General features: G+C 54.8%; 2 protein-coding genes and 2 long non-coding RNA genes across 17 annotated transcripts in view, besides 8 other annotated features; 1 reads left to right on the top strand and 3 right to left on the bottom strand.

Annotated features, from left to right (window-relative positions):
* Window positions 1-839: 839 nt before the first annotated feature.
* On the bottom strand, window positions 840-1,598 carry CARHSP1-DT (CARHSP1 divergent transcript). Its single transcript, NR_186721.1, has 2 exons — window positions 1,551-1,598; window positions 840-1,266 (listed from the first exon to the last, which is right to left on the bottom strand). It is a non-coding gene; the product is annotated as a CARHSP1 divergent transcript (long non-coding RNA).
* Window positions 1,551-2,510: a silencer, noted in NCBI's record as "silent region_7181". NCBI's record gives its function as "represses an Ori minimal core promoter by ATAC-STARR-seq in GM12878 lymphoblastoid cells {active_cell/tissue: GM12878}" and the evidence as "EXISTENCE:reporter gene assay evidence [ECO:0000049][PMID:35858748]".
* On the top strand, window positions 1,873-17,937 carry CARHSP1 (calcium regulated heat stable protein 1). Of its 13 annotated transcripts, none has more exons than NM_001278260.2 (5): window positions 1,873-1,913; window positions 10,661-10,774; window positions 11,544-11,708; window positions 12,407-12,529; window positions 15,553-17,932. In NM_001278260.2, exons 3-5 carry the CDS (start codon window positions 11,551-11,553, stop codon window positions 15,713-15,715), a joined length of 444 nt encoding a protein of 147 aa, NP_001265189.1. In that variant the 5' UTR covers window positions 1,873-1,913; window positions 10,661-10,774; window positions 11,544-11,550; the 3' UTR covers window positions 15,716-17,932.
* Window positions 2,651-2,710: an enhancer, noted in NCBI's record as "active region_10356". NCBI's record gives its function as "activates an Ori minimal core promoter by ATAC-STARR-seq in GM12878 lymphoblastoid cells {active_cell/tissue: GM12878}" and the evidence as "EXISTENCE:reporter gene assay evidence [ECO:0000049][PMID:35858748]".
* Window positions 3,716-4,355: an enhancer, noted in NCBI's record as "H3K27ac-H3K4me1 hESC enhancer chr16:8960381-8961020 (GRCh37/hg19 assembly coordinates)". NCBI's record gives its function as "activates a minimal SCP1, AML or CMV promoter by ChIP-STARR-seq in naive H9 embryonic stem cells {active_cell/tissue: H9 hESC(naive)}" and the evidence as "EXISTENCE:reporter gene assay evidence [ECO:0000049][PMID:30033119]".
* Window positions 4,356-4,993: an enhancer, noted in NCBI's record as "H3K27ac-H3K4me1 hESC enhancer chr16:8959743-8960380 (GRCh37/hg19 assembly coordinates)". NCBI's record gives its function as "activates a minimal SCP1, AML or CMV promoter by ChIP-STARR-seq in naive H9 embryonic stem cells {active_cell/tissue: H9 hESC(naive)}" and the evidence as "EXISTENCE:reporter gene assay evidence [ECO:0000049][PMID:30033119]".
* Window positions 6,493-6,652: an enhancer, noted in NCBI's record as "active region_10355". NCBI's record gives its function as "activates an Ori minimal core promoter by ATAC-STARR-seq in GM12878 lymphoblastoid cells {active_cell/tissue: GM12878}" and the evidence as "EXISTENCE:reporter gene assay evidence [ECO:0000049][PMID:35858748]".
* Window positions 10,249-10,963: an enhancer, noted in NCBI's record as "H3K4me1 hESC enhancer chr16:8953773-8954487 (GRCh37/hg19 assembly coordinates)". NCBI's record gives its function as "activates a minimal SCP1, AML or CMV promoter by ChIP-STARR-seq in naive H9 embryonic stem cells {active_cell/tissue: H9 hESC(naive)}" and the evidence as "EXISTENCE:reporter gene assay evidence [ECO:0000049][PMID:30033119]".
* LOC100130283 (uncharacterized) lies at window positions 10,462-21,410 on the bottom strand. The gene is made up of 5 exons (NR_147908.1): window positions 21,224-21,410; window positions 20,886-21,030; window positions 19,829-19,946; window positions 15,662-15,845; window positions 10,462-10,751 (listed from the first exon to the last, which is right to left on the bottom strand). It is a non-coding gene; the product is annotated as an uncharacterized LOC100130283 (long non-coding RNA).
* Window positions 20,357-20,496: an enhancer, noted in NCBI's record as "active region_10354". NCBI's record gives its function as "activates an Ori minimal core promoter by ATAC-STARR-seq in GM12878 lymphoblastoid cells {active_cell/tissue: GM12878}" and the evidence as "EXISTENCE:reporter gene assay evidence [ECO:0000049][PMID:35858748]".
* Window positions 21,554-26,154, bottom strand: part of PMM2 (phosphomannomutase 2) — a 51,487-nt gene continuing 46,886 nt past the window's right edge. For both annotated transcript variants that reach the window (NM_000303.3, XM_047434215.1), the window contains one exon: window positions 21,554-23,155. In NM_000303.3, coding sequence (NP_000294.1) covers window positions 23,054-23,155 — 102 coding nt within the window. In that variant the 3' untranslated portion in view covers window positions 21,554-23,053. The remainder of the gene's footprint in view (window positions 23,156-26,154) is intronic.
* Window positions 23,798-24,389: an enhancer, noted in NCBI's record as "H3K4me1 hESC enhancer chr16:8940347-8940938 (GRCh37/hg19 assembly coordinates)". NCBI's record gives its function as "activates a minimal SCP1, AML or CMV promoter by ChIP-STARR-seq in naive H9 embryonic stem cells {active_cell/tissue: H9 hESC(naive)}" and the evidence as "EXISTENCE:reporter gene assay evidence [ECO:0000049][PMID:30033119]".

Raw genomic sequence — 26,154 nt, 5'->3', positions numbered from 1 at the left:
AAGGGATCCTCCCACCTCAGCCTCCCCAGTAGCTGGGACTACAGGTGGGTGCTACTACTCCTGGCTAATTAAAACTTTTTTTTTTTTGGTAAAGAAGGGGTCTTACTATGTTGTCCAGGCTGGTCATAAACTCCTGGGCTTAAGAGATCCTCCTGTCTCGGTCTCCCAAAGTGCTGGGATTACAGGCGTGAGCCACCACGCCCAGCCCAACAAGTAAATCATTATTTATCTATTTATTTATTTTTGAGATGGAGTCTTGCTCTGTCGCCCAGGCAGGCTGGAGTGCAGTGGCACTATCTCGGCTCATTGCAAGCTCCGCCTCCCGGGTTCACGCCATTCTCCTGCCTCAGCCTCCCGAGTAGCTGGGACTACAGGGGCCCGCCACCGCGCCCGGCTAATTTTTAATATTTTTAATAGAGACGGGGTTTCCCCGTGGTCTCGTTCTCCTGACCTCGTGATCCGCCCGCCTCGGCCTCCCAAAGTGCTGGGATTACAGGCGTGAGCCACCGCGCCCGGCCTATTTATTTATTTTTAACTTTTTTTCCCCCCCGAGACGGAGACTCGCTGTCGCCCAGGCTGGAGTGCAGTGGCATGATCCTGGCTCACTGCAACCTCCACCTCCCGGGTTCAAGTGATTCTCCTGCCTCAGTCTCCCAAGTAACTGGGATTACAGGCACCCGCCACCAAGCCCGGCAAATTTTTGTATTTTTCATAGACACGGGGTTTCGCCATGTTGGCCAGGCTGGTCTCCAACTCCTGAGCTCAAGTGATCCTCCTGCCTCGGCCTCCCAAAGAGCTGGAATTACAGGCGTGAGCCACCGCACCCGGCCTCAAGTAAATTTTTGTGTGGACAAACATTTTTATTTCTCTTGGGCGCGCAGACACCTAGGAGTGGAGTTGATGGGTTTTATGGAGACTCCAGGGCTCGTGGTTTGAGGAACCGCCGGGCTTTTTCCACAGCAGCTGCGCGGTTGTTCCCACCAGCCGTCTAGGACGGTTCCTTGCCTGGCTTGGACTAGTTGGTTTCGCTGCTGGGCCTTTTCCCCAGTGGCCCCAATAGGGGCTGCAGAGTGAGGCAGGCACAGTCCTCACCGCCGCCTCCGGGGGCCCTGTTGTCCCGGGCGAGCTCCGGGGACCTCTCTCCTTCCCCGCGCCCCTCAAATACCAAGCTGACCCTGGTCCCGGGATCTAGGCTCGCCTTCAGGGGCTGCTCTCGACTGGCCGTGCCCATGGGCTGGTCGCCTCTCTGTGCCTCAGTTTCCTCTCCTGCAAAACAGAGGTAACATTTTTTACCTCCAAAAACAGAGGACTCAAGGAAGGCTAGAAATGAAACAAGAGAAGAGAACAAAATCAAAATCCCCAACGAGAAAACAAAACCCTGTTTTTCTGGTGTGTGTGTGCGTGTGTATTTTTTCTTTCCCTTTTCCTCCTTTCTGTTTTTTGCTTGTTTTCTTCCGTCTCTCTTTTCATTCCTTTATTTCCTTTCTGCTAAAAGTGACACCCTCCGGGATTATACAGATTTTAGAGCCAAAGGCAGGTGGGAGCCGCACCTGGCGCGCGTGGCGAGGGGAAGGAACTGCACGGGCGCAGGGACACAGTTCCCCCACTTTGCAGGGGCGTTTTCTGCTGGTGGGTGCAGCCCAGCTCCGCCCCGCCCCGCCCCGCCCCGGCCCCTACGTCCCGCGCTCTGCGTTCCGCTCTCCCGCCAGTCTAAGGCGCGGACACAAAGGTCCTGTCCGGGCCACTCCCGCCCCGCCCGCCCCCACCGTCCCGGGCTCCCTCCCGCAGCCCCATTGGCCGGGAGCTCCTGGGGGCGGGGATCGGCGCCCCACCCCCCCTCGGGCCACGCCCCCTCCCCAGCTCCGCGCTCTCAGTCGGAGCGAAGCGGCTGGCGGAGCAGAACGGATTGCAGGGTAGGGAGCTCTTCTCGGGGACCCCAGGATAGGCGCCCCTGGCCCGCGGCCCCGGGAGCCGCAGGGGTGGGGCCTCGGCCTCCTCTGCCTCCATCGTCCCCCATCCTGCAGGGTCTTCTAGCTCGGCAGAGGAGGGCTCCGGGCTGGGTTTCTCGGGGCCTGTTTGGGGAACGCGGGTTGCTCCTCCCCAGGGGAAGGGGTGGGTGTGGCAACAGCGGCAAGGATTCTAGGCGGACGTCGGGTAGTACTTCCCGCCTGGCCACCTGTTCTCTGCGTGCAGGGGAAGCTCTTCCCGCCCTCCCCGCTGCTTTTGCCTTTGGGCGGGAGCCCTGGACGGGGGACTCGCCGGGCGGTGGGGCGAGGCGCGGGGGGCGTCGCACGCGGGAAGCAGAGCCACCCCCCGCCGGGCCTGGCCGCGCCAGCTGTGGCTCGAGGTTGGGACGGCGGCCAGGCCCGGCGGGGGAGGTGGGGAGCCGTCCTGGCGCCGCGCGATTAGCCGCATCTGGGGGAGGAGGAGCCGCCGGGCGCGCTGGGCCCGGGTGTTTGCGCCCGGATGGGGGTGGGGGTGCCTTAGGCGCTGGAGAAAAACTTCACCCGCGCCCACAGGCCCCCTTTCCGCAGGCTGCGCTGGCGGTTCAGGTTTGCAGGCCGGAAGTGAAATGTTCTTTTTTGATTTTTAAAAAGGAAGCCTCCGGCCCTATGGTTTTCTGGGGTTGGAGTGGATGTGTGTGCTGGGGGAGGCGGAGACGTCCCGCTCCAGGCAGGGCCTTGGGTCTTAATAGGTGGGGAAATCTCTGCCAAATAGGAGGCCTCTCGGAGCCTCAGTTTCCCCATCTGCAGACTGGGCTCTGACTTCTTCTGGCATGAGAGGGTGTGTGAGAGTAAAAGGAGGCAGCTAGCCCCGTGCCGGGAGACACGTAAGCTACTGTTTTTTAACTTGCTGTTTTGATATTTCTCAGTCTCTCTGTGCCCAGTCTTGCTTGCCCCTGTCATTTGCTGCCACTCTGAAGCCAGAGGGAACTTAGAAAAACAATCCGCTTAGATCTACCCCACGCTGAAAATCGTCCACCGAAGTCCCATTGTCGTCTAAGTCCCCAACTTCTCAGCAGGGCTTCCTGTTATCTTCCGCCACTACCTTCTCCAGCCTCTCTCTGCCTCTGTTCTCCCTCCCTTCGGGCCTTTGGCCCTCCTCTGGGCTCGGGGTCCTCCTTGGAGACCCCACCGCCCTCTGCACTCCCTGGGTGGCCTCGGTGATGACCGTGAGTTCTCGATGCTGGTCCCTTCAGGGCAAGAAAGAGGCGCAGAGCCCGGCTGGGAGTAGATGTTTTCAATGAGCTGAGCTAGGCCTGGCGTGGGGCCATGGGGTGGGGTTGAGGGTGGTTGACGGTGGGTCCCCTAGGTAGGGGATCGGTCTTTGTTCCACCGAGTGGCAAAGCCAGCGCATTTGGTTTGTGTTCCATCAGCAGGGGCAGGAATGGGAGGGAAGGTGATTTCAGATGGGCCCGTGCCTGACACTTCCACCATCAGCCGCACTATTGTGGACTGAGCCCGCCGTGCGCTTGGCATTTTCGCGGCACCATCTGCACAGCGTCCGAGCCCTGCGACGCAGCACCGCTCCTGTCCCCTTTGACAGATGAGGAAACTCGGGTGGGGCGGTGAAATCGCCTGGCAGGGGTCACAGAGGGAGTGGGGACCAGTCAGGGCTCAATCTCAGGTCTGAGCCAAAGCCCCCCGAGAATGGAGGGAAGGATGGAGGGATTGAGTGGGGGAGGCGTGTAGAGTAGGGTTCTTGTTGAGAAGGAGGGCTTGGGCTTCCCGCAGGAGGGGCAGTCCAGGCTGAGAACTGGGGCGGGCGCAGGGTCCCAGGTGGGTGGTGGCGGTGGGGTGACCGTCTCCCTGCTGGGTGGGGTCGCCCGTCCGGTCGAGGCCGTCCAGGGGTGCTAATGGGGGCACAGGCAATGGCAATGTTGGAGGCCCCCTTGGGTTCCCGGTACACTCCTCGGGTTTCCGGCCTCTTCCCAGCACTCAGGGGCTCCTGAGGGCGGAAGAGCTATTCCCAGCTTGGCGGGGCCTGGGAGGGGGCTCTGGGCAGACGTAGGCGCCGGGCTGCACCTTCCCTGCCCGCCTGTTTGCACTTCTCTGTGACTGTTGGCTTCAGGTCCTTAGCCAGCGGAGGGCTGACTCCGGCCTGGCTGCCCCCTCCCCTTTGCCTCCCGTCCCTCCCCCTGGACACTCCAACCCCCATCCCTTCGTGTCCCTCCCCCTCCTCTCTCTCTGCTCCTCCCTCGCCAGACCCCCCGCTCTCCCCGGAACAATGGAGGGGAATGTGGCTAGGCCAGCCTGACGCTGCTGCGTCAACCTCTGGCTCGTTCTCGGCCTCTATCGCTTCCAGGGACCCTTCTATCTGGGCTCAGCTGACCCGCCCCGCCTCTCGGCCCACGTGCCGGCAGTTCTCCCAGGCTGGGGCTCAGCTGCGCTGGAGACTGGGATGGGTCAGCTCAGTGTCTCTGTCTGTTTACAAAGGAGGAACCCAGGTGCACTAAGGTAACTTCGCTACTCTGCTAGAGTCTCACCCCGATCCCTGCGCCATTTCCCTTCCACCTCCTGCACTGTTAAGCCTTGGGCTGTGAGATGGGCCAGTGTAGCCCGGCTACTGCCGTGTTCCCTGGGTCAGGGACAGCTGCCTCACTGGGAGCGCCTTAGAAATGTAGAATCTTGGCCAGGAATCTGGAGCCTGTAATCCCAGCACTTTGGGAGGCCGGGGTGGGAGAATCTCTTGAGCCTGGGAGGTCGAGACCAGCCTGGACAACACAGTGAGACCTTGTCTCTACAAAAAATAAAAAAATTAGCTGGGTGTGGTAGCACACGCCTGTAGTCCCAGCTACTTGGGAGGCTGAAGTGAGAGGATCCCTTGAGCCCAGGAGGTTGAGGCTGCAGTGAGCCATGATTGTGCCACCAAACTCCAGCCTGGGTAACAAAGCAAGACCCTGTCTCAAAAAAAATAAAAAAGAAATGAAGAATCTCAGGCCCCACCCCACACCTGCTGAATGGCAATCTGCATTTGAACAAGATCCCCAGAGATTCCTGACTGCATTAAAGTAGGAAGTAGAATCACTGGCTTAACTCTGTGCCTTAGTTTCCTCATCTGTAAAACAGGGCTGCTAAAAGTGCCTCCCCTGTTGGGTCGATGTTTACGTGCATGTAGTTGATGTTTGTAATCCCCCAACAGGGCCTGACGCAGAAGTCTGTGGACAGTGGCTGTAGGGTGTATGAAAGCACTACAGCCTGCCCCATCCCCATAGTGCGGGCCACTACCCACCACACCTGCCAGCAGTGGGCTGGCTCCGGGCTGGAAGCTGCCCCAACACCATGCCCAACCCTGGCCTTCCCCAGCCAGCATCCCATGGAAGGCTCAAGACACCCTCATTTTGCAGAGCAGGCTTGGAGAGGTTCTCGCTTTGCCAAGAGTGAGGTGTCTGACTTGAACTCTTATCCCCCTGCCTTCTATCATCCTGTCTTCAATAAAGGGGCTGAAGCTATTAAGAATGGAATCTCTGGCTGGGCACGGTGGCTCATGCCTGTAATCCGAGGACTTTGGGAGGCTGAAGCGGGTAAATCATGAGAGGTCAGGAGTCCGAGACCAGATTGGCTAAAATGGTGAAACCCCGTCTCTACTAAAAATACAACAATTGGCTGGGTGTGGTGGTACATGCCTGTAGTCCCAGCTACTCGGGAGGCTAAGGCAGGAGAATCGCTTGAACCTGGGGGGCGGGGGTCTGCAGTGAGCTGAGATTGTGCCACTGCACTCCATCCTGGGCAACAGAGGGAGATTCTGTCTCACAAAAACAAAAATGAATGGAGTCTCCTTCAATGAGCTCCCTCTTACTAGAGTGTAAATGGCTGATAGCACTGCTAAAGCCCTCCTTGCAGTAAGCACAGGGCTGCTTGGCTCCCATTGATGTGGGTGGTGGGTTTTCAGGCCAGGAGGGCAGGAAGTTGGGGAGTGGGTAATGGGGGCTGCATGATTGGGCCGTAAGTCTCCAGACATGCGGGCAGGCTGAGCAGGGGCTGGGAAAGCCAGAGTCTTGGTACCCAGCTGAACTCCAGAACCTTCCAGGAGGAGCTGCAGAGCCTACGGAAAATTCCCAGGCTATTTTCGGCCGAGGCCCCCTTCTCCCAGCCGACACACCCATCCCTGGGGCAGTCAGGGTGGGCGTGGCTTCCTGCCCCCACCACCCTGGGCTCCCTCCCTTGGCCGGGCACTCATCAGAGCCTGGGGGCTGACTGGGGAAGGGGGTGCATGGCCAGCTGGGCACCTCCTGGTGCAGCCTCTCCCCCTTACCCTGCTGGCTTTTTCTCCGTAGCATTTCTGCTGTCTGACTTACTCCGTATTTCACCAGGGTCTTTGTTAGCCGGGCGACCCTGGGCAAGTTACTTGACTCTTTGTGTCTCCGTTCTCCCATTAGTGAAATGGGGATAGAATGAGCTGGGCTGTGTGAAGTGTTGTAAAGTAGTAAGCAGAATGGCCCCAGGACACTGCTGTGGTGGTGGTAGTCATGGTCTGTCCCACTCCCTTATCTGTTGGTTCAATAGGAAGTGGCAGAGTTCATCAAGGTCCCCTGTGGCAGCACAGGTGCCCAGCGTGCTGTGCGGTGAGGTGAGGCTCCCCGCTCCATGGACGTGTGCATACAGACGGCAACAAGTTCACGCATGCATACACGTGTATGCGCTCAGATGCAGAGACAGCCATGTGTGGGCACATATGTATGTGTACACATGCGTATATACACAGCACACACATACACATGTGCATACACCTACATACCTGTGCACAAACGAGCACACATGTACATGCAGCCTGGCAGTCATGACACCTTGGTCGTGACATTTGGTCGAAGTTTGTTGCAGGCCAGAAGCTCATCTGAGTGGCGGATCTGTTTGCAGCCTTCCTCCCTCCCCCAGCTGTGGGGAGCTGAAGGCTAGTCACAGAGGGCAGGCCCTGTCTTCTGCTGGGGACACTCCAAGGCCATGCCTGGTATTGCTGGGAGAGCAGTGGCTGGCTGGAAGCTGGGACTGTGCTGGTGGGCGGGGCTGCTGTGTGGCCCCATCCTTGTGTATGTGTGTATTGTGGAGGGGACACAGCAGAGGCTGGCCAGGGCCTCAGAGCTGGCTTCTGGGTGCCTGGTTACCCGCCCCCCAGTTGTTTTCTTTCCAGCTGGACTTTGCCCGGCCCTCCCCCGCACTGAGGCCATTCACTCCTCTCTGCTGGGCCTACTGGGGAGTGAGTGGCCCTTGGCCAGGCCTACTCTGGCCACCCCAGCTTGGCTTCAGCCCAGATGGGCCATGAGAGGCTGGATAAAGCTCCTGGGTCTCCCAGTTGGCACTGCCCCCGCCCCTAGTCACGTCTGCTCCGTGCCTCAGTTTCTTCCACTATCAGGTGAGCAGGAATGTAGCCACCTCCTGCTGGGCTGGGCATGGTGCTGAGTGCACACCAATGCAGTGGCAGCCAGCTGGGGCTTTGGGTCCTAATGCTGGCAAAGAATGAGGCTTGGAAGCTGGGTGTGGTGGCTCACGCCTGTAATCCCAGCACTTTGGGAAGCCAAGGTGCGCCGATCGCTTGAGCCCAGGAGTTTAAGACCAGCCTGGGCAACATATTGAAACCCTGTCTCTACAAAAAATGAGCTGGTTGTGGTGGCACGTGGCCGTAGTCCCACAACCCAGGAGGCTGGGGTGGGCGGATCACCTGAGCCCAGGAGGTTGAGAGGCTTCAGTGAGCCATGATCGCGCCACTGCATTCCAGCCTAGGTGACCAAGTGAGATCCTATCTGAAAAAAAAAAAAAAAAAAAAAAAAAGCCATCCTTGTGGCCATTCCTGGACCGTCTGGAGACCCTGCTCTGTGCCAGTGCCTGTGCTGGGCCCTTGGGACACAGAGGGGCCCTGTGCTGCCCTCAGACTCCTCACCCCTACAGGCCATGAGCTTCCAGTGGCATCTCTGAAGGATTGGGTGCACTTGGGGTGTTGAGGGGGCTTGGGTGGAGAAAGAAGGGGGCCCCCATTTTGGGTCTGTGCCATTCACCCAGGGGAAAATGGGTGTGACAAATGGAAGATGCAAGGAGGACGACGATGGTGACAATGACAGTGATGATGATGATGACGCGGCATGATTCCTGAGCGGGCCCTACCCTTTCCACCGCCTTTCCTGCCTCCCATTCCTAGTCCCCCACCCATCACATGGTTTCCCCACTGGCCTCAGTCCCACCCGGGCCCTCAGGGCCTTTGCACAGGCTGTTCCCTATACCTGGAACAGCCTCCCTCCGTTTTGCAAATGGCTACCCCTTTCTTGCTGTTCAGGGTCCTGCAGGCACCCTGATTAGCGTGTGTATTCCCACCCTTCTCCCCCTATCCCCTTCTGTCTGTTTCTTTACAGCCCTTTTGGGATCTGTAATGATCTGGTTTATGTTTATTTAACTGTTTATTCTCTGGCTTCAAGTTCAGCCCTTTGTCTCTGGGGCCTTGAACAGGGCTCGGTATTGGGCACGTGTCTGTTGAGTGCCTTTATGATGACAATTATAACAACAGTCGTAGCTGACAATTACTGCTCACTGGACCTGGGCGGACAGTGTGCCCAGTGCTTAGTGTGTATTATTTTGTTTTCAGTTCAGCCTGATGGTGTGAAATCGGGACTATTATAATTCCCATTTTCCAGATGTGGAAACTGAGGCCCAGAGAGATTAAGTAACTTGTACAAGACCACACAGCAGGCAAGGGGTAGGATTAGAAGTCAGCTATGCTTCATTAGCCGGGCGTGATGGCGGGCACCTGTAACCCCTGCTACTTGGGAGGCTGAGGCAGGAGAATCACTTGAACCCAGAAGGTGGAGGTTGCAGTGAGCCGAGATTGTGCCATTGCACTCCAGCCTGGGCGACAGCAGGACTCCATCTCAAATTAAAAAAAAAAAAAAAAAAAAAAAAAAAAGTCAGCTATGCTTGACTCCAGGAGAAAGGAGGGAGGGAGACTTTGGATAGAACAAGGCAGGGCAGTGTCTCTAACTGTGGAGTTGCGAGGCCACTGCTCCCATCTGCTGTCCTGGGAGGCCTGGACAGGGCCCTCCCCTCCCAGGGCCAGCCTCTTTCCTGGAACTCTGGGCGTTGAACATTCTAGGACTCTATGACCTGTGCTGGTAGGTCATGCGGGGGCCCTGGCCCCCAGGCCAGCAGCTGGGGCCTTTTTGAGGTGGGGGCTCCCCGGACTCAGGAGTTCCTCCTTGGCCGCGGCTGTAGCTGAGAGAAGGGACAGGAGGTAGGATGCCACCTCCTCCAGAAGGCAAGCCAGCCACCAGCTTCCCAGCCCGACAGAACTGAGGCCCAACGGGAGAGTGCAGCAATGTCTGGGGAGGGGTTCTGACATTTCAGGGATGGGGCATCCCTTCTCCTCTGAGCAGTCGGGCCTGGTTCTTGGGTGGCTATGCTTGAAGGCGGTTCGGGGGGTGCGGTGGGATTTTTGGGTGATGTAGGTTGAAGACTCCTATAAATGAGGGGACTGGGGGGGCAAACTGAGGTTGAAGGTTGTGAGAGCTTCATTTCTTTCCATGAGCAGCTGGAAACCTGGATTTTGAGGAAACCCCCTGGGATGTTTAAGATAGTTCAGGCCGGGCATGGTGGTTCATGCCTGTAATCCTAGCACTTTGAGAGGAAGAGGTGGGAGAATCCGTTGAGCCCAGGAGTTTGAGATCAGCCTGGGCAACATAGTGATACCCTGTCTCTATAAAAAAAAAAAAAAAAAAAAAAAAAAAAAAAAAAAAAAAAATTAGGCATGGAGGTCAAGGCTACAGTGAACTGTGATTATGCCACTGCCCTCCAGCCTGGGTGACAGTGAGACACTGTCTCAAAAAAATAAAAGTTATTTATTTTTTTTTGAGACGGAGTCTCACTCTGTCACCCAGGCTGGAGTGCTGTGGTGTGATCTCGGCTCATTGCAACCCACAGCTCCCTGGTTCAAGCAATTCTCCAGCTTTGGCCTCCCGAGTAGCTGGGATTACAGGCACCCACCACCACGCCCAGCTAATTTTGTATTTTTAGTAGAGACTGGTTTTCACCATGTTGGCCAGGCTGGTCTCCAACTCCTGACCTCAGGTGATCCACCTGCCTCTGCCTCTCAAAGTGCTGGGATTACAGGTGTGAGCCACCGCACCTGGCCCATGCTTCAAATCTAAATTTGAAAACCCCATGGGACCTGAGTCAAACCGATCCAGGGCTGCTGCTGTCCCTCCCGGCTGTGTGGTGTTGAGTGGCGTCCTGAGTTAGTTAGGCTTCTCCCTACTTCATCTCGTACCCCCATCACCAGCCCTGCGCAGGTGCCAAGTGATGCCCACCCAGCTGCCCCACTTTGCAGATTCGGAAACTGAGCCCAGAGATGGGAAAGGACTTACCCAAGGGCCTCTGACTGCTGGACTGTTTCTCTTTCCCCTGAACCTCGAGCTGAGGCCACGTTAGAGCCGACACCTTCATATTCAATGTTCAGTGATTATTGTGTACAGCGAGTGTCCTGCTCTTGAAAAATTGTCAAAAGCACAGCAGCAGCTAGGGAATTCCCGCCCTCCAGCTGGATTTACCGGTACATACTAGGGGTCACAGAAGGAATTTGATTTCATAACAGCGTGGTGACCCGGGCTGTGTGGAAATTCACTGGGCCTGATGGAGCTGGATGCAGCCTTGGAAATTCTCCCTTTCCCTTTGGGCTCTCGCAGCAGGCCCCCCAGTCCTGGGTGCAGGCTTGTGACAGCTGCTCAGGGATCCAAACGTGGCGCTTGAGCTCTCTGCGACGTGTTCCACAGTTCCCTGGAGGCGGACACTGCGTGAGGGTCAGTTTTTGCCCCTGCTTCCCTGTGGTGTCTGGCTCCCAGCAGCGTCAGGGAGGGTCCGTGGAGTGGCTGAGTTTGGATCTAGGTGGTTGGCATTAAAATCTCCCTGGCTTTGGGTTTTCTTTTTTGAGACAGAGTCTTGCTCTGTAGCCCAGGCTGGAGTGCAGTGGTGCGATCTCAGCTCACTGGAACCTCCGCCTCCCAGGTTCAAGCAATTCTCATGCCTCAGCCTTCAAGTAGATGGGATTACAGGTGCCTGCCACCATGCCCAGCTAATTTTTGTATTCGTATTAGAGACTGGGTTTCCCCATGTTGGCCAGGCTAGTCTCGAACTCCTGACATTAAGTGATCCGCCTGCCTCGGCCTCCCAGAGTGCTGGGATTGCAGGTGTGAGCCACTGCGCCCGGCCCCTGGCTTTGGGTTTTCTGCTCACCTTCCTCCTTCCCTCCCACAAATACTATGTGTCCCAAATGTGCCGGGATCCATGCCTTGTGCTGGGGACACAGAGGGGACCGATGCCATCCTGGTCATGGGGGAGGATGTGGCATTTTCATGAAGAGCTATGATCGAGGGGGCCCCACGGTTGCTTCAGGAGCCCAGAGTAGGCATCTGACCCTGCCAGGCGTGCTCCCAGACAAGGTGACAATGGTGCTGAGGTGCCCGAGAGGAATGAGCCTCAGATACTGGACTGTCAGACGTGGACATGGGGGTAAGCACAGGGTCCCTACCTTGCAAGGCACGAGCCCCTGACAGCCTCTTCTCTTTCCAGGTCAGCCATGTCATCTGAGCCTCCCCCACCACCACAGCCCCCCACCCATCAAGCTTCAGTCGGGCTGCTGGACACCCCTCGGAGCCGTGAGCGCTCACCATCCCCTCTGCGGGGCAACGTGGTCCCAAGCCCACTGCCCACTCGCCGGACGAGGACCTTCTCGGCGTGAGTCTGGAGCAGGCTGGGGACGCGTTCTCAGATGGATCTCTTGCCTGAGGCCAGAGATTCACTGTGTCTCTGGCCATTTTTGGGCCTATGTCCCGGACTGCCAAATAGGCAGACCTGGGGCTGGGCCGTGGGCTGAGGGTGAGAAACTAGGAAGGCGCCTTGTAAATTCAGGGTACTGCCCAGCCCAGAAGAACCTGTTACCAGCTGGGAGTGGCAATGGGTGGGCAGTTGCTGGGGTCAGAATCGCTGGGCTTTAACCACACATGAGAGTCTGGTTCCCTGTGAGACTGTGAATTCTGCAGCTGCAAAATGGGCACAGCACCAGGGCTGCAAAGGACCCACATAATGCCTGGCAGATGCAGGTCTCAGGCCTTGCGAGTGGAGGATGCTTGTGTTATTAATAGTAAATCATTAGTTTCTGGAGGGATGTTCAGTGATGTTTTAGTTCAACTCCCTCTTTCCAGGAGGGAAAACAGGCCCGAGAAAATTGGCCAGGGTCATCCAAAGAGTCCTTTCCCCCAGCGTCTTTGTGAGCGGCTCCCAGGGTTGAGGGTTGTGCAGTCCTCAGCCTGTGTGACTGTACATGGCGGTCCTGGCCAGGGCTTGATGGGGCACAGCTGTGGGCAGGGGCTGGAATGAGCTTTGTGTGCCCAGGAGCGCTGATGGGGCCCCTGACATTTCCCCCTCTCTGTCAGGACGGTGCGGGCTTCACAGGGCCCCGTCTACAAAGGAGTCTGCAAATGCTTCTGCCGGTCCAAGGGCCATGGCTTCATTACTCCAGCTGATGGCGGCCCCGACATCTTCCTGCACATCTCTGAGTGAGTCAGCGGCAGGTCTGGGTGGCCTGGCTGGGGTGGGCGCTTCCTTGGCCCTGTGGAGGTGGGGATGGTGTGTGACTCTGATGGGCGCTGGGTGTGAGGACGAATGGCTGGGCCTGTGTGACTCTGCCTGTGGCTGGTGCTCCAGCTGTGCTCCTGTGTGTGTGTTGGGTTGGGGTTGTGAGACTCTACGGAGCTGTGTTGGGGGATGTGAGGCTGGGGGCGACACGGTACTTGTGATTGTCCCTGGGTGTGTCTTTGTGAATGGGTGTGTAAGGTTTTGTGTGTGCTGGGCGTGGTGGCTCACGCCTGTAATCCCAGCACTTTGGGAGGCCGAGGTGGGTGGATCACGAGGTCAGGAGATCCAGACCATTCTGGCTAATGGTGAAATCCCGTCTCTACTAAAAAAACACAAAAAAAATTAGCCGGGCATGGTGGCGGGCACCTGTAGTCCCAGCTACTCGGGAGGCTGAGGCAGGAGAATGGTGTGAACCTGGGAGGCGGAGTTTGCAATGAGCCGAGATTGCGCCACTGCACTCCAGCCTGGGCAACAAGAGCAAGACTCCATCTCAAAAAAAAAAAAAAAAAAATAATGAGCAGGGCGTGGTGACAGGTGCATGTAATCCCGGCTCCTCGGAAGGCTGAGGCAGGAGAATCACTTGAATCCAGGAGGTAGAGGTTGCAGTGAGCCGACATCTCGCCATTGCACTCCAGCCTGAGTGACAAGGGTGAAAGTCCATTTCAAAAAAAAAAAAAAGGATCGGGCATGGTGGCTCACACCTGTAGTCCCAGCACTTTGGGAGGCGGAGGCAGGCGGATCACCTGAGGTCAGGACTTCAAGACCAGCCTGGTGAAATCCTGTCATCACAAAAATACAAAAAAATAGAAAAAAAAAAAAAAAAAGCGGGGAATGATGGCGGGTGCCTGTAATCCCAGCTACTTCGGAGGCTAAGGCAGGAGAATCACTTGAACCCAGGAGGTGGAGGTTATGGTGAGCCGAGATCGCGCCATTGCACTGCAGCCTGGGCAACAAGAGCAAAACTCCATCTCAAAAAAAAAAAAAAAAAAAAAAAAAAAAAAAAAAAACAGATCTGCCCAAGATCACATAGCCAGAAAGTGATGGAAATGGATCTGGGGGTGCCCGACTATGCTTGTGGGAGACAGGGTGGTGTCAGCTGTGCATGGTGCATGTGTGTGAGCAGCAGGGACTGCTGGGGTGAGTCCGAGTGCCCATTATATCTGGCCAAGGACACCCCATGAGGCTGGGGAGCCCTGTTTGGCCTGGGGACCAGTCCAGCTTCCTGCCCTCCTTTGGGGGAGGTGGACTGGTGAGGCTGGGGGCTGTCCTGCCCCTTTGCTCCAGGAAGGAAGTTTGGGGTGGGTCTTTCTCCTCCTGCATGCTTACTGACGTCCTTCCTTCCTGAGTGTCTGAAAACCCTTGGGGAGCCGGGGGTGGGGCGCACACATCCTAGGGCTGGGCTGGAAGGCACCCAGCCCCCCATGCTTCACCTCTGATCCTCTGGGCAGCCTTTAGACAGGGGAGGACCCTCGATCTGCACCCTTGTCCCTACCTGCTTCTTTGGCCTAAGCACCCCCAAGTCTTTTACTTCAGGCAGGGGCAGACAGAGTCCTACTCTGCACAGCATACCCGCTAACACGGAAACCACATTTCTGAAAAGAGGAGCCCACTGCAATGGGGGAGTTACCCCTCCTTTGCCCACCCCCGCCCCATGCTTACCTATCAGATCGGCAGGCAGGAGAATACCAAGGTGACGCATTTCACATATGCATGCATACATGGATGTGTAAGGGTATTTCCATACTGCCTTGTCCCAGAAAGGATTTTGAATCAGTAAGGAAAACATAGAGGTTGGGGCAAAGAAATATTTAGGAAGATGGAAATATTGTGATGTCTGGTTCTGCTGCTGGAAGTAGGCTGCAGATTTATTTCTGAGCTCCCTCGTGACCAGATCAAAGAGGGAAACACTCTTCACCATACGATTCTCCAATCAAAACAAACCAGTTACTAGGGGAGCTGGCTGGCCCTTGCATTTAGCATCTGAAGGGGGTTTTCCTCTGGGGGGGTTTCATCAAGGGGACATCAAGATGCCAGTCTCATGTGAGAGGGTGACTCATGTCCCCTAGAAAGTAAGGGAACCTTCCTGGGGGTGGTCACAGGGAGAGGCCCCTCCAGGAACTAGCTTCATGCACCAAAGGGACCTTCTTGAAGGCTCACCGGGAGTCCAGGCGTGGTGGCTCACGCTTGTAATCCCAGCACTTTCGGAGGCTGAGGCAGGTGGCTCACTTAAGGTCAGGAGTTTGAGACCAGCCTGGCTAACATGGTGAAACCCTGACTTTGCTAAAAATACAAAAATTAGCTGGCTGTGGTGCCTATAGTCCCAGATACTTGGCTGAGGCAGGAGAATCACTTGAACTCGGGAGGTGGATGCAGTAAGCTGAGATCACACCACTGCACTCCAGCCTGGGCAACAGAACAAGACTCTGTCTCAAAAAAAGGCAGGCTGGGAAACTGGGGAATTTGAGAACAAAGACACGGTGCGGTTTCTGAGACTCCTGGAACCAGGGGCTGCAGTGCTGAGGACCTCAGGAAAGCCCTGCCCAGGCCACCCCTCAACTCGGATTCTCACTCCATGATGGCCTTGTTTCTCTCTGGCTCTCTGGCTTGGACTGGCTGTCTTTACTCTTCAGTCACAAGCCCAGGCTCCCTCCCACATTTCATGTCACCATGTGAGCACCCACAGGTGGCTGAACTCTTTCAGTTCCAGCATCAAAAGTCCCAGGGAAGGAGCTGATTGGGCCAGGGCCTCCTTGCCTAGGACAGAGGCTGGGGGCAGTGTGGCAGCTCCCTCTGGTGGAGGGGCAGTTCTTTGGAAAGAGGTTCCCGGTGGTTGGTCAGATGGTGCCTGCTTTGGTGGCTGTGTGACCAGAAGGGTGGCTGGTGTCTTGGGGAAGGGAGCTGTGTCCCGGTGTGAGCCCTGACTGCTTTATTTATGCCCCCGTAGTGTGGAAGGGGAGTATGTCCCAGTGGAAGGCGACGAGGTCACCTATAAAATGTGCTCCATCCCACCCAAGAATGAGAAGCTGCAGGCCGTGGAGGTCGTCATCACTCACCTGGCACCAGGCACCAAGCATGAGACCTGGTCTGGACATGTCATCAGCTCCTAGGAGATGGTGGAAGCACCCCTTGTCCTGTGCTTGTGGGAGACTTTGCAGGGAGGAGGCAGCAGACACTGGAGATGACATTCTTCCACACGAGACGGGGCTTCAGCCGGGCATGGTCCCTCTCAAGTATCTCCTGGAGGAAGGGGTATGGGGGGCAGGTGTGGGGTGTGGGGTGTTCCCGGCCATCAGCACAGCCTATGACCATTGCAACAACCTCTCACCATCTGAAGAGCATTAAAAGCATTTAAAAAGGAGAGGTGCCCACTGGTGGCTGAGTGGAGGTTCCAACCCCATCCCAGGGAGTGGATCAAGGGTGGTATTTCTCCAGCTGCTCAGACACATGGGCTCAACCCACAGAATCCCTCTTCCTCCTGGAGCTGGAGGCCCCAGATTCCCAGATCTGGCCCCCTGGCAGCCTGACAGGGACCTTGCGTGACTTCTCCAAGGCAAATTTCCACCTAAGTGCCCCTTGCGCCTCTCCTGGGGCCTGGGCAAAGCAGTTTTCTAATTCTTGGCTTGGTTGGTTCTAGGGGAGCTGGCTTGAAGTGGGTGGGGAAAGGCGGGGGTGGCGGTCTTTGGATTGGACGGATGTTGCCTTTTGGTGCCTTTGCAGTGGGAGGCGGCATAGCTGCCTGTCTGGGGAAGACAGTTCTCCCAGCACTCCCACCCCTGGGCACAGCAGGCTGGTACTGGGAGGCTGAACCCCTCTTAGAGCCTGACCTTTTCATCTGCCTTCTGGTTGTGTGACCATCACTCAACAGCCATTTCACAGCCCCTGTAATTATGGCGGCGGGGGGCTGGGGTGGTGGTGGTGGGAAGGGCTTGTGGAGAGGACACAGTCTTTGTTTAAAAACTTTGTCCCGATCCATCCAGAAAAGAGTAGGTAGCTTGCATCCTGACAGCCTGGCAAAGTCAAGAAAGTTGAAGGAGAAACATACCTTTGGAGAGGGGGTTTTCTTTAAAACTAGTGTTAAGAAATGCTTAGGGATTTTTTTTTTCTTATTTTTCATAACTAAAGCTTTCACCCAGAGCCGGCTCTGTTTGCACTTTGCTGCCGACATTGCAAACTTTTTGGCAGGGTGGGAGACTGAGTCTCATTCTGTCACCCAGGCTGGAGTGCAGTGGCCCGATCTCAGCTTACTGCAACCTCTGCCCTCCAGGGTTCTGGCAATTCCGCCTCAGTCTCCTGAGTAGCTGGGATTACAGGCATGCGCCACCACACCCGGTTAATTTTTGTATTTTTAGTAGAGACCAGGTTTCATCATGTTGGGCAGGATGGTCTTGAACCCCTGACCTCAGATGATCTGCCCATCTCGGCCTCTCAAAGTGCTGGGATTACAAGTGTGAGCCATCGCGCCCGGCCTGCAAACTTTTTTGTAGGTATTTCTGGTAAACAAATCCTTAGGTTATCTTTGCTGTGGTTGTGGTTTGGCTTTAGTCATGATTTCAAAGTAGAAATAGCTAGGCATTATTTTTTGAAATATATGACCTATATGTAGTCAAGAATCCACTGAACAGAGGCAAGCAAACCTTTTGGAAACTGGCTTTTGGGCAGACAGTAAACGTCCAGTTTGATGCTGGAAGCATGAACAGCTTCATCAGGTAGGTACTCCTCAACTCTGATGAGTTTGTCCTTTCAGCCTAAGGGGGTGGAAGGGAGTTGTTTGAGAATAGCAAATACGCATGTTGATTGCGAGTGTGTGGAGACAAAGGCAGTTCCCACCACAGTTAGGTCCTGGCCATTGTTTCCTCGCCTGCGATGCTCCTTGTACATCCTCACCCTCCTCTCCCGCCTCTGCCTTCTGCTGGGTCAAAGGTGGCCTTTTCTCTCCAGCCTTGAATTGTTCCCTGTTGGCTTCCCAAGGGCCCATCTGCTGGTACAGTCCACACTTCCACAGCCAAGACCCGAGAGGGCTTTCACTGCCCCAAGCCTCTCTCCTGTGACCCTGGGATTCTGTCTTGGCAGAATCCTTTGTCAGCGGCTCTTACTCTGTCCTTCCTGTTTGGCCACAGCTCTTTCAATCAATGGGTATTCTAGAACCGCAGGATGTCAGAGCTGGAAGGGACGCGATACCGGTTTACACAAGGGGAAACTCCTCGAGGCTCTGGGAGGGACGGAGGGTTTTGGTGACAGAGCGAGAGCTAAAATTGAGGATTCCTGAATCCAGATCTTGCCTCCCATCAGCCATCTTTCTCCCAATAAATTTTTGTTTTGTGCAAGGCTATGCGTGTGTTTGTGTGGAGGCTGGCTCACCAAGTTTTTCCTTTTAAGTCGTCAGATAAGGGTGTCTCCCCCAGGTGAGGCTGACACATTCCACGTGGCAGTCTGTTTTTTTTAGGGGATGGTGAATAAGAAGATGGGATCATCTGTTTTTTAGTCATCATTCTCTAGCATGAGAAAGCTTAGCAGAGAGGAGAATGCGGCTTCCTGGCAATAGAAAATGCCAGTAACTTGGTCAGCGGCGCTCCAGTGCCCTGTTGAAGCTTTTAGGATGTGTGAGTTACACCTCATCCCCATCAGCTGTGGGAAGAGAGGACGGGCCTCGGGGCACACTGTCCACAGTCCCTGGCTCATTCCTGCTATAGAAGTGTTTTTTGTTTGTGTTTTTGAGACAAGGTCTCGCTTTGTTGCCCTGCAGCCTTAACCTTGTGGGCTCAAGTGATCCTCCTTCAGCCACCTGAGTAGCTGGGACTATAGGCATATGCCACCATGCCTGGCTAATTTTTAAATTTTTTGTAGAGAGCAACTTGCTACATTGCCCAAGTTGGTCTCGAAGTCCTGTACTCAGACCATCCTCCTGCCTCAGCCTCCCACAGTGCTGGGACCAGAGGTGTGAGCCACAGCACCCGGCCACTGCTATAGACATTTGATGAACGTTTGCTAGGGCTGGGCACAGTGGCTCACGCCTGTAATCCCAGCATTTTGAGAGGCCGAGGTAGGTGGATGGCTTGAGCTCAGGGGTTTGAGACCAGCTGGGCATCATGGCGAAACATGGTCTCTACCAAAAATACAATTAGCTGGGCATGGTGGCATGAGCCTGTGGTCCCAGTTACTCCAGAGGCTGAAGTGGGAGGATTGCTGGAGCCCAGGAAGTGAAGGCTGCAATGAGCTGTGAATGCACCACTGCACTCCAGCCTGGGTGACAGTGACACCCAGTCTCAAAAAAAAAAAAAAAAAAAAAAAAAAAAGCTTGCTGCTCTTCAGGCATGAAGTCAGGGGCTGGAAGCAGATGAGGCTTGAGGGCCCGGGGCTGGCAGAGTCCTAGGACGGAGAGCTTTTCAAGGTCCATAGCAGGGGAGGAAGGGTTTGCTGTTGGGGCAGTGGGAGTGAGGGCAGAAGGTGGGCAGGTGTAAGAACTCCTGTTCTTGGTTTCCAGGAGAGCAGTGACAGGCAGGGGCCACTCTATGGGGTCGCTGTGCTCTGTTGGGAAGGCTTTGCTCTGGCCGGTGTCTCCCAAGGGAGGCAGTGATTTTGGGTGGTGCAGAGATGGACACTTTTCTTGTCAGTATTATACAATGATTTCCAAAGCATATTGGGAAAAAACCAGCCCATCAAACCTGTTTAGGGAGAGCCTAACGTAGGCACTTAGCTCAAAACAATGAGATTTGCTGACTTACTTACTATATGGAGTACTACATGGGTAGCCAAGGAAGGGTTTGGCAAAAGCTGAAGGTGGGGAGCGGGCGTGGTAGCTCACGCCTGTAATTTCAGCACTTTGGTAACCGAGGTGGGCAGATCACTTGAGGTCAGGAGTTCAAGACCAGCCTAGGCAACATAGTGAAACCCCGTTTCTACTAAAAATACAAAAATTAGCTGCACGTGGTGGTGCATACCAGTAATCCCAGTTACTTGGGAGGCTGAGGCAGGAAAATCACTTGAACCTGGAGGCAGAGGTTGCAGCGAGCCAAGATTGTGCCACTGCACCCCAGCCTGGATAACAGAGTGAGACTCTGTCTCAAAAACAAAAAAAAAGGCCGGGCATGGTGACTCATGCCCATGCCTGTAATCCCAGTACTTTGAGAGGCCAAGGCAGGTGGATCACCTGAGGTCAGGAGTTCAAGGCCAGCCTGGCCAACATGGTGAAACCCCGTCTCTACTAAAAAGACAAAAATTACCTGGGCATGGTGGCAGGGGCCTGTAATCTCAGCTACTCGGGAGGCTGAGGCAGTAGAATTGCTTGAACCGGGGAGGCGGAGGTTGCAGCGAGCTGAGATCGTGCCATTGCACTCCAGGCTGGGCAACAACAGTGACTTGTCTCAAAAACAATAGCAACAACAACAACAAAAAACAAAACTGAAGGTGGGACTGGGAAGACGTTTGGGAAAGCAGCCTCGGGTGAAGGAGGTGGAATGAGTTCTACGTCTTGACTTTGGGGTGCCGTGGCAGGCAGCGTGGAGGTTGCCTGTCGTTCAGGTTGGAGGAGCCTGCCTGGGCTGAGGTGGCCAGCTGGGGCCCAGAGCCAGAACACTTGGGAGGGGTGGAGAGGAAGCAGCAGCCCTTGGAGAGGAAGTGATTCAAAACCACGTATGCCTGGATGTGTCCGGACTACGGCAACATCTGCCCAACTGCCTTCTCCTGGCCCCTGTGGGCACTCCCCTTCCAGTAGCTGGAGAGACCTTCCCGGACAGATCATGAGCATGCCCCACACCTCTCCCTCGGGATCAGGTTCAAGCTCAACTTCCTGGCTAGCCTCTCCCTCCAGGGAGCCAGAGGCCTGCCCTGCACTCACCCACTGCTCAGGTTCAACCCAGGCCTTTTCTCTGAGGCTTAAGCCCTGGGTGACCTTGAGTTCAGGGTCAGCTTCTGCAGTGCTGGGGATGGTGACTTTCAACAGTGCTAAGCTGGCCTGGATGCAACCTCTGTGCTTTGCTGTGGCTCAAAATTTACCTACTGTGTTTAAATTTCTTGTGACGGTGTCTTTATCCTGCAACCCCCTAAAGCAGAGAGAGGGACTGACTGTCCCTGCCTTATAGGGTTCTGGGTTGGGAAGGGGTATTACTTGAGTTAGTAATGGCTCACACTCACTGTTCAAAGTGCTTTAAATTCCATACACGGTAAGGACTATCCCATTTGACAGAGGAGGAAACTGAGGCGAAGATGAACTCACCTTAAGTCACGCAGCAGCTTGTAGCAGCAGAACTAGGCTTGGGGTCTTGGCAGCTGTGCTCTTACCTGCCATGTGCAGAACCTGCTGCTCTGGGGTCACGCAGAAGGCACCAGGACATGTTGTGCATGCGTCGTTTAGCTGTTATCACTTTACATCCCACCACAGTGCGGGGCAAGCCGATGCCCTTGGAGTAAGCCCCAGGAAGCTGGCCTGGGATGCAATGTGATGACAAAGAAGGTGGAAGGGGAGTGTCAATTCTGACTGCAGAAGGGAGGCAGCAGACAGTGCAGGAGGGGCTCGAGGGGCCTGGGGAGGGTCTCAAGCAGCCACTGTGGGAACTGGGGCAGGGACGGCCCAAACCTCCGCGCATCAGCACCCAGCCTGGCAGACTCGGGGTACTCACCTGAGGGCAGCCCTGTGCAGGCGGTGACACAGCAGCAACCCTCCATCTCCGGTTAAAACAAGTTTGAGTAAGACTCGGTTGTCTCGCTTTGACGCAATACGTTAAGGAAACTTGTAAAGAATGGCAGATCCTGACCCAGTGGGCAGAAAAGCAGCGGGGGAGGAGTCTGTGCATCAGGAACAGCAACATGCAACTCCGCAGAGGGAGGGGCCCCCGATGTGACAGAAATCCAGAGTAAAGAAAGAGTGGCTCTCAGACCTGGAAGGGCTGGGGTTCCATTCCAGAATCTGGGAACATAGGAGGAAAAAGAAATCGGAATGAGAAACAGGAAACAATAAAATCACTTTAATGTGCTACTCTTCACTTTGGAAGGTCATTACAGTATCATTCGACAAGGAAAGATGCCGCTGGATGGCTGTGTCCTGTGAGTCACTGGGATGAGCTGGCTGCTTTCACCCCACCGGATCCGGGGCTCAGACAGTTACAAGCCCGAGTGGCTGGGAGGTTTGGAGGGAACCAGGTTTAGCTGTGATGAAAGCACCTGGCTGTGGGCTGGGAGGCAGGAGTGCAGGGCAGCCTGGGCTCCCCTGGCCCCAGACTCAGGTCGGCAAGTGCCCAGTGGAGGCCACACAACCCCAGCACCAAGCAATGGAGGGTGTATGGCTCAGTGTTTCCACATCCTGAAAAGTGACACATGAACCGTTTCCTAGGAAAGTTCTCTTCCACCGTGTTCTAGCTGAGACCCGGGATCCTTCCAGTTTCACGAAGAACGTGCAGAAGATGAAAAGAGTGAGGGACGCGGACCTAGCTGTAGCTGCACTCAGCCGCCTCCGTGGTAAAGTCTGGGTGAAGGCCTGGGTGAGTGCAGATAGGAGAGCAGCTCCTCTTACTGTTCTCTGGCTGGGCTCTCGCTCCATCCCTGAGAAACTAGAGGCGAACGCCTCCAGGAAGCCAGCCAGGGGCAACCAGAAAGTCCTTTTGGTGAAGTCTGACATCCCGCGTTGGTTTCTCTGGACCTGGGTAAGAACCGGCCCCAGGGCAAGGACTGTTTTGCCAGCACCAACTCTCCAGCCCAGCTGTTGGTTCCCACTACCTCCGGTCTCGGAGACAGAGAAGCAGCCAGGCTATTCTGAGTGTAGTGAACACAGAGCCGGTCCGAATCCGGCCCAGCCGAGGTGCAAACTCCCTAGGGTCTGCTCCCACTTGGCCAGCCATCTGTCCAGCAGGCCTCAGCCCCAAACACGGGAAAACGCAGAGTGCGTCTAGTCACTGGGTATCACACTGCCCCACTCACAGCCCCCATCAAGGTGACATGCAGGCGGGAGCTTCGTTCCAGGAGGTGTTTGTAAACTTCGTCCTGGGCTGGGTCACTGCAGATGGCCTGTCCTGGTTTCTCATTACCAAACCCCCATGTTTGGTATTGATGCAGGGGCCCATTAAAAAAACCGCTTATGTTTCCACAGACCCACCAAGAGGGAGGGTCCAGGCACAGTTTTTCTTTCTGTATCATCCTAGAATGATGGGGAAATTTCCGCCAAAACTACATGATTGCACGTATCAGGGTGGGTATTAGACTAGGGGGCTGGGGGTGGGTGGGGAAGACCTTTTGTGCGAGGCATTCCTCTGGGCCATTCTTGACAAGAGTTTTCTCCTTCCTTCTGGAAGTTTCTGGCACTGGAGGTGGAAGTCCAGACTGCACATGCCTGGCATAGCATGCAGAGCCTGCCTAGGCTGCGGGTGGGTGAGCACGTGTGGGAGGACCCTCGGCTCTGGCCACCGAATGCCCTATGCTGGCTTGTCAGCCGGGACCCCGCCCCTCCCGCTCCCACGTTAGGAGAACAGCAGTTCACAGATCCTGCGCGTGTCCTCAGGCGCTGTCACGGAGTAGCCCATGGTTCTGGGGTCTGTGAAGATCTCATGGTCATTGCCACCCTGGAAAGACACGAAGTACAGATGAAGGCTCCCCCTCGTCTGTCCCGGGCCATTGCTGATGTGACCCTGGAGTCCAAAAGTACCCAAAAAACAAGATTTAACTGGGCAGGGAGAGTTTCTTCAGCTACCTTCCTCTTAGTTTCCAGGAGAGGAACGTGAGTACAATTGTTATTAAGAAGAGATTTATAACCTTCTCTTGAACTGCAATTTGGCTTGGAACACGTAATTATGCCTATGAGAGCCATCACGATGTTCTTGCGAAGATCTGTCTAAGGCTTATTTTTCTACACAGAAGGCATCAGCGAGTGACAGTATTCTCACAGCCATCAGTTTTTTTTTTTTTTTTAGCTGTACCTACGCTTTTCTAACAAGTCACAAGGGAGCGTCAGGAGGGCAGAGGGCCGGGAGCAGGGCTGCCAGGGATATTCCTGTGATGAGGGACGTGGCGACATCAGCGGTGATGGCAGCCACTGGCCATGTGTCACTCTGCACACTTGAAACGTGGCCAATGCAATGGAGGAACTCAGTTAATTTGATTTTAATTTAAACAGCCCCACGTGGGCCGGGCATGGTGGCTCATGCCTGTAATCCCAGCACTTTGGGAGGCTGAGAAGGGTGGATCACTTGAGGTCAGGAATTTGAGACCAACCTGGCTAACACAGCAAAACTCCATTTCTACTTAAAATACAAAAATTAGCTGGGCATGGTGGCGCACGTCTGAAATCCCAGCTGCTCGGGAGGCTGAGGCAGGAGAATTGCTTGAACTCGGGAGGTGGAAGTTGCAGTAAGCCGAGATCGCACCACTGCACTCCAGCCTGGGCGACAAAGGGAGACTCTATCTTAAATAAATAAATAAATGGCCCCACATGACTGGGGTCTGAGCTGCTGGCTAAAAGCAGGGTCTCTGGAACAGGTGGCCTGGGTCAGATGCTGGTTCTACCACTGAGCAGCAGTGTGGCTGCGCCAACTCCCCATCTCCAAAATGGGGTCATGATGGAAGCTTGCTCACAGCTCTGTGGCCAGAAGTTCAGGAGATGATGGTTGGGGTCACACCTTGGTAAGATGACGAAACCGAGGCCTCAGAAAGTCTGCAAGGGCCCATGTCTAGGAGGACCTGGGCATGTTCTGCTGGGGTCCTGTGCCTGAGTTGAGTGCTCCCATCTGTGTCCCCATCACCCCCACCAATCCCACTGGGCTCACGTTAATGAATCAGGTTATCTGCCGCTCCCGCAACCCCGAGCCCTGCAGGAAAGCCCCCGTTTTTCTCATGGAATTCCTTTATTTCCCTCATAAAATTGGATAATCACTCTAACTCAAAACCTTAAAATAATCTACGATTGCTTTACAATACAATGAACACAACCGTAGAAAAAAGGGATTTTTCTCATAAAGCACCGAGCATGAAGCCAACGTGGAAACCATGATTTTGTACCAAAAATCTGACATCCTTTAAAAGAATTAATTGCCTCTGGAAATGAGTGTTTTCATTTTTGCAAGAACCTATCCCCAGGCAGATGGCCTCCTCAGGTGGAGGTGAATTTCAGGCTTCAGGAGGGAACGTCGCTGGGCCCAGGGAGTGCTGGGTGGAGTCAGGTTAGGAGGCCATGAACTTGGCATCTCTTCCAGTCCAGCCACTTGGGAACCTGTCAGGGCCTTGTACTGGCCTTACACAGTTTTGTACCAGGCCTGGGGGCCTTCAGACAGACCTGAATTGCATGGCCACCATCTGCTACCTACACATGTGAAATCAGTTCTGGTAATTCTGATTTTGCCTTTTTTTTCCTTCGGACATAGGGTCTTGCTATGTTGCCCAGGCTGGGCTCGAGCGAACCTCCTGCCTCAGCCTCTCGAGTAGCTGAGACAAAGACTGTGTCCAACAGTGCCAAGCTAGTTCCAGTAATTCTTCTAATTAAAAAAAAAAAAAAAAAGATTTCTTTCAGGAATGGCACAGTGGGTAAAAGTCACAGAGAACCTAACAAAGGCACAACCTAGCTGGGTGTGGTGGTGCGCACCTGTAATCCCAGCTGCTTGGCAGGAGAATCACTTGAACCTGGGAGGCGGAGATTGCAGTGAGCCAAGAACAGACCACTGTACTTCAGCCTGGGCAACAGAGCGAGACTCAAAAGAAAAAAAAACAAACAAAAAACCAAAGGCACAACCAACTCTCACATGCCTCAAAAGAGCCAAACACCCTCCCCGCCTCAGTGACTGAGGAGGGGAGTCAGTATTCACACATTAACACAACACACCTTTCTAGAACACCTACTGTCAGGCCTCTGAGCCCAAGCCAAGCCATCGCATCCCCTATGACTTACACGTGTACATCCAGATGGCCTGAAGTAACTAAAGATCCACAAAAGAAGTAAAAATAGCCTTAACTGATGACATTCCACCATTGTGATTTGTTTCTGCCCCACCCGAACTGATCAATGTACTTTGTAATCTCCCCCACCCTTAAGAAGGTTCTTTGAAATTCTCCCCACTCTTGAGGATGTACTTTGTGAGATCCACCCCTGCCCGCAAAACATTGCTCTTAACTTCACCGCCTATCCCAAAACCCATAAGAACTAATGATAATCCACCACCCTTTGCCGACTCTCTTTTCGGACTCAGCCCGCCTGCACCCAGGTGAAATAAACAGCCATGTTGCTCACACAAAGCCTGTTTGGTGGTCTCTTCACATGGACGCGCATGAAATTTGGTGCCGTGACTCAGATCGGGAGACCTCCCTTGGGAGATCAATCCCCTATCCTCCTGCTCTTTGCTCCATGAGAAAGATCCACCTACGACCTCAGGTCCTCAGACCCACCAGCCCAAGAAACATCTCACCAATTTCAAATCCAATAAGCAGCCTCTTTTTACTCTCTTCTCCAACCTCCCTATCCCTCACCGTCTTTCTCCTTTCAATCTAGGCGCCACACTTCAATCTCTCCCTTCTCTTAATTTCAATTCCTTTCATTTTCTGGTAGAGACAAAGGAGACGTTTTATCTGTGGACCC

This window comes from Homo sapiens, chromosome 16 (genome assembly GCF_000001405.40).
Source record: "Homo sapiens chromosome 16, GRCh38.p14 Primary Assembly".
In the NCBI taxonomy this organism is placed as follows: domain Eukaryota; kingdom Metazoa; phylum Chordata; class Mammalia; order Primates; family Hominidae; genus Homo; species Homo sapiens.
Note: the sequence above shows the minus strand (reverse complement) of the source record. Positions and strands in the feature narration are given on the sequence as shown.

Bases quoted from the DNA above. Each gene is read 5' to 3' on its own strand.
- CARHSP1 (XM_011522444.3), top strand. From the start codon at position 11,551: ATGTCATCTGAGCCTCCCCCACCACCACAGCCCCCCACCCATCAAGCT. The intron at 11,709-12,406 runs GTGAGTCTGGAG...CCTCTCTGTCAG, and splicing joins CGGACGAGGACCTTCTCGGC to GACGGTGCGGGCTTCACAGG. The intron at 12,530-15,552 runs GTGAGTCAGCGG...ATGCCCCCGTAG, and splicing joins ATCTTCCTGCACATCTCTGA to TGTGGAAGGGGAGTATGTCC.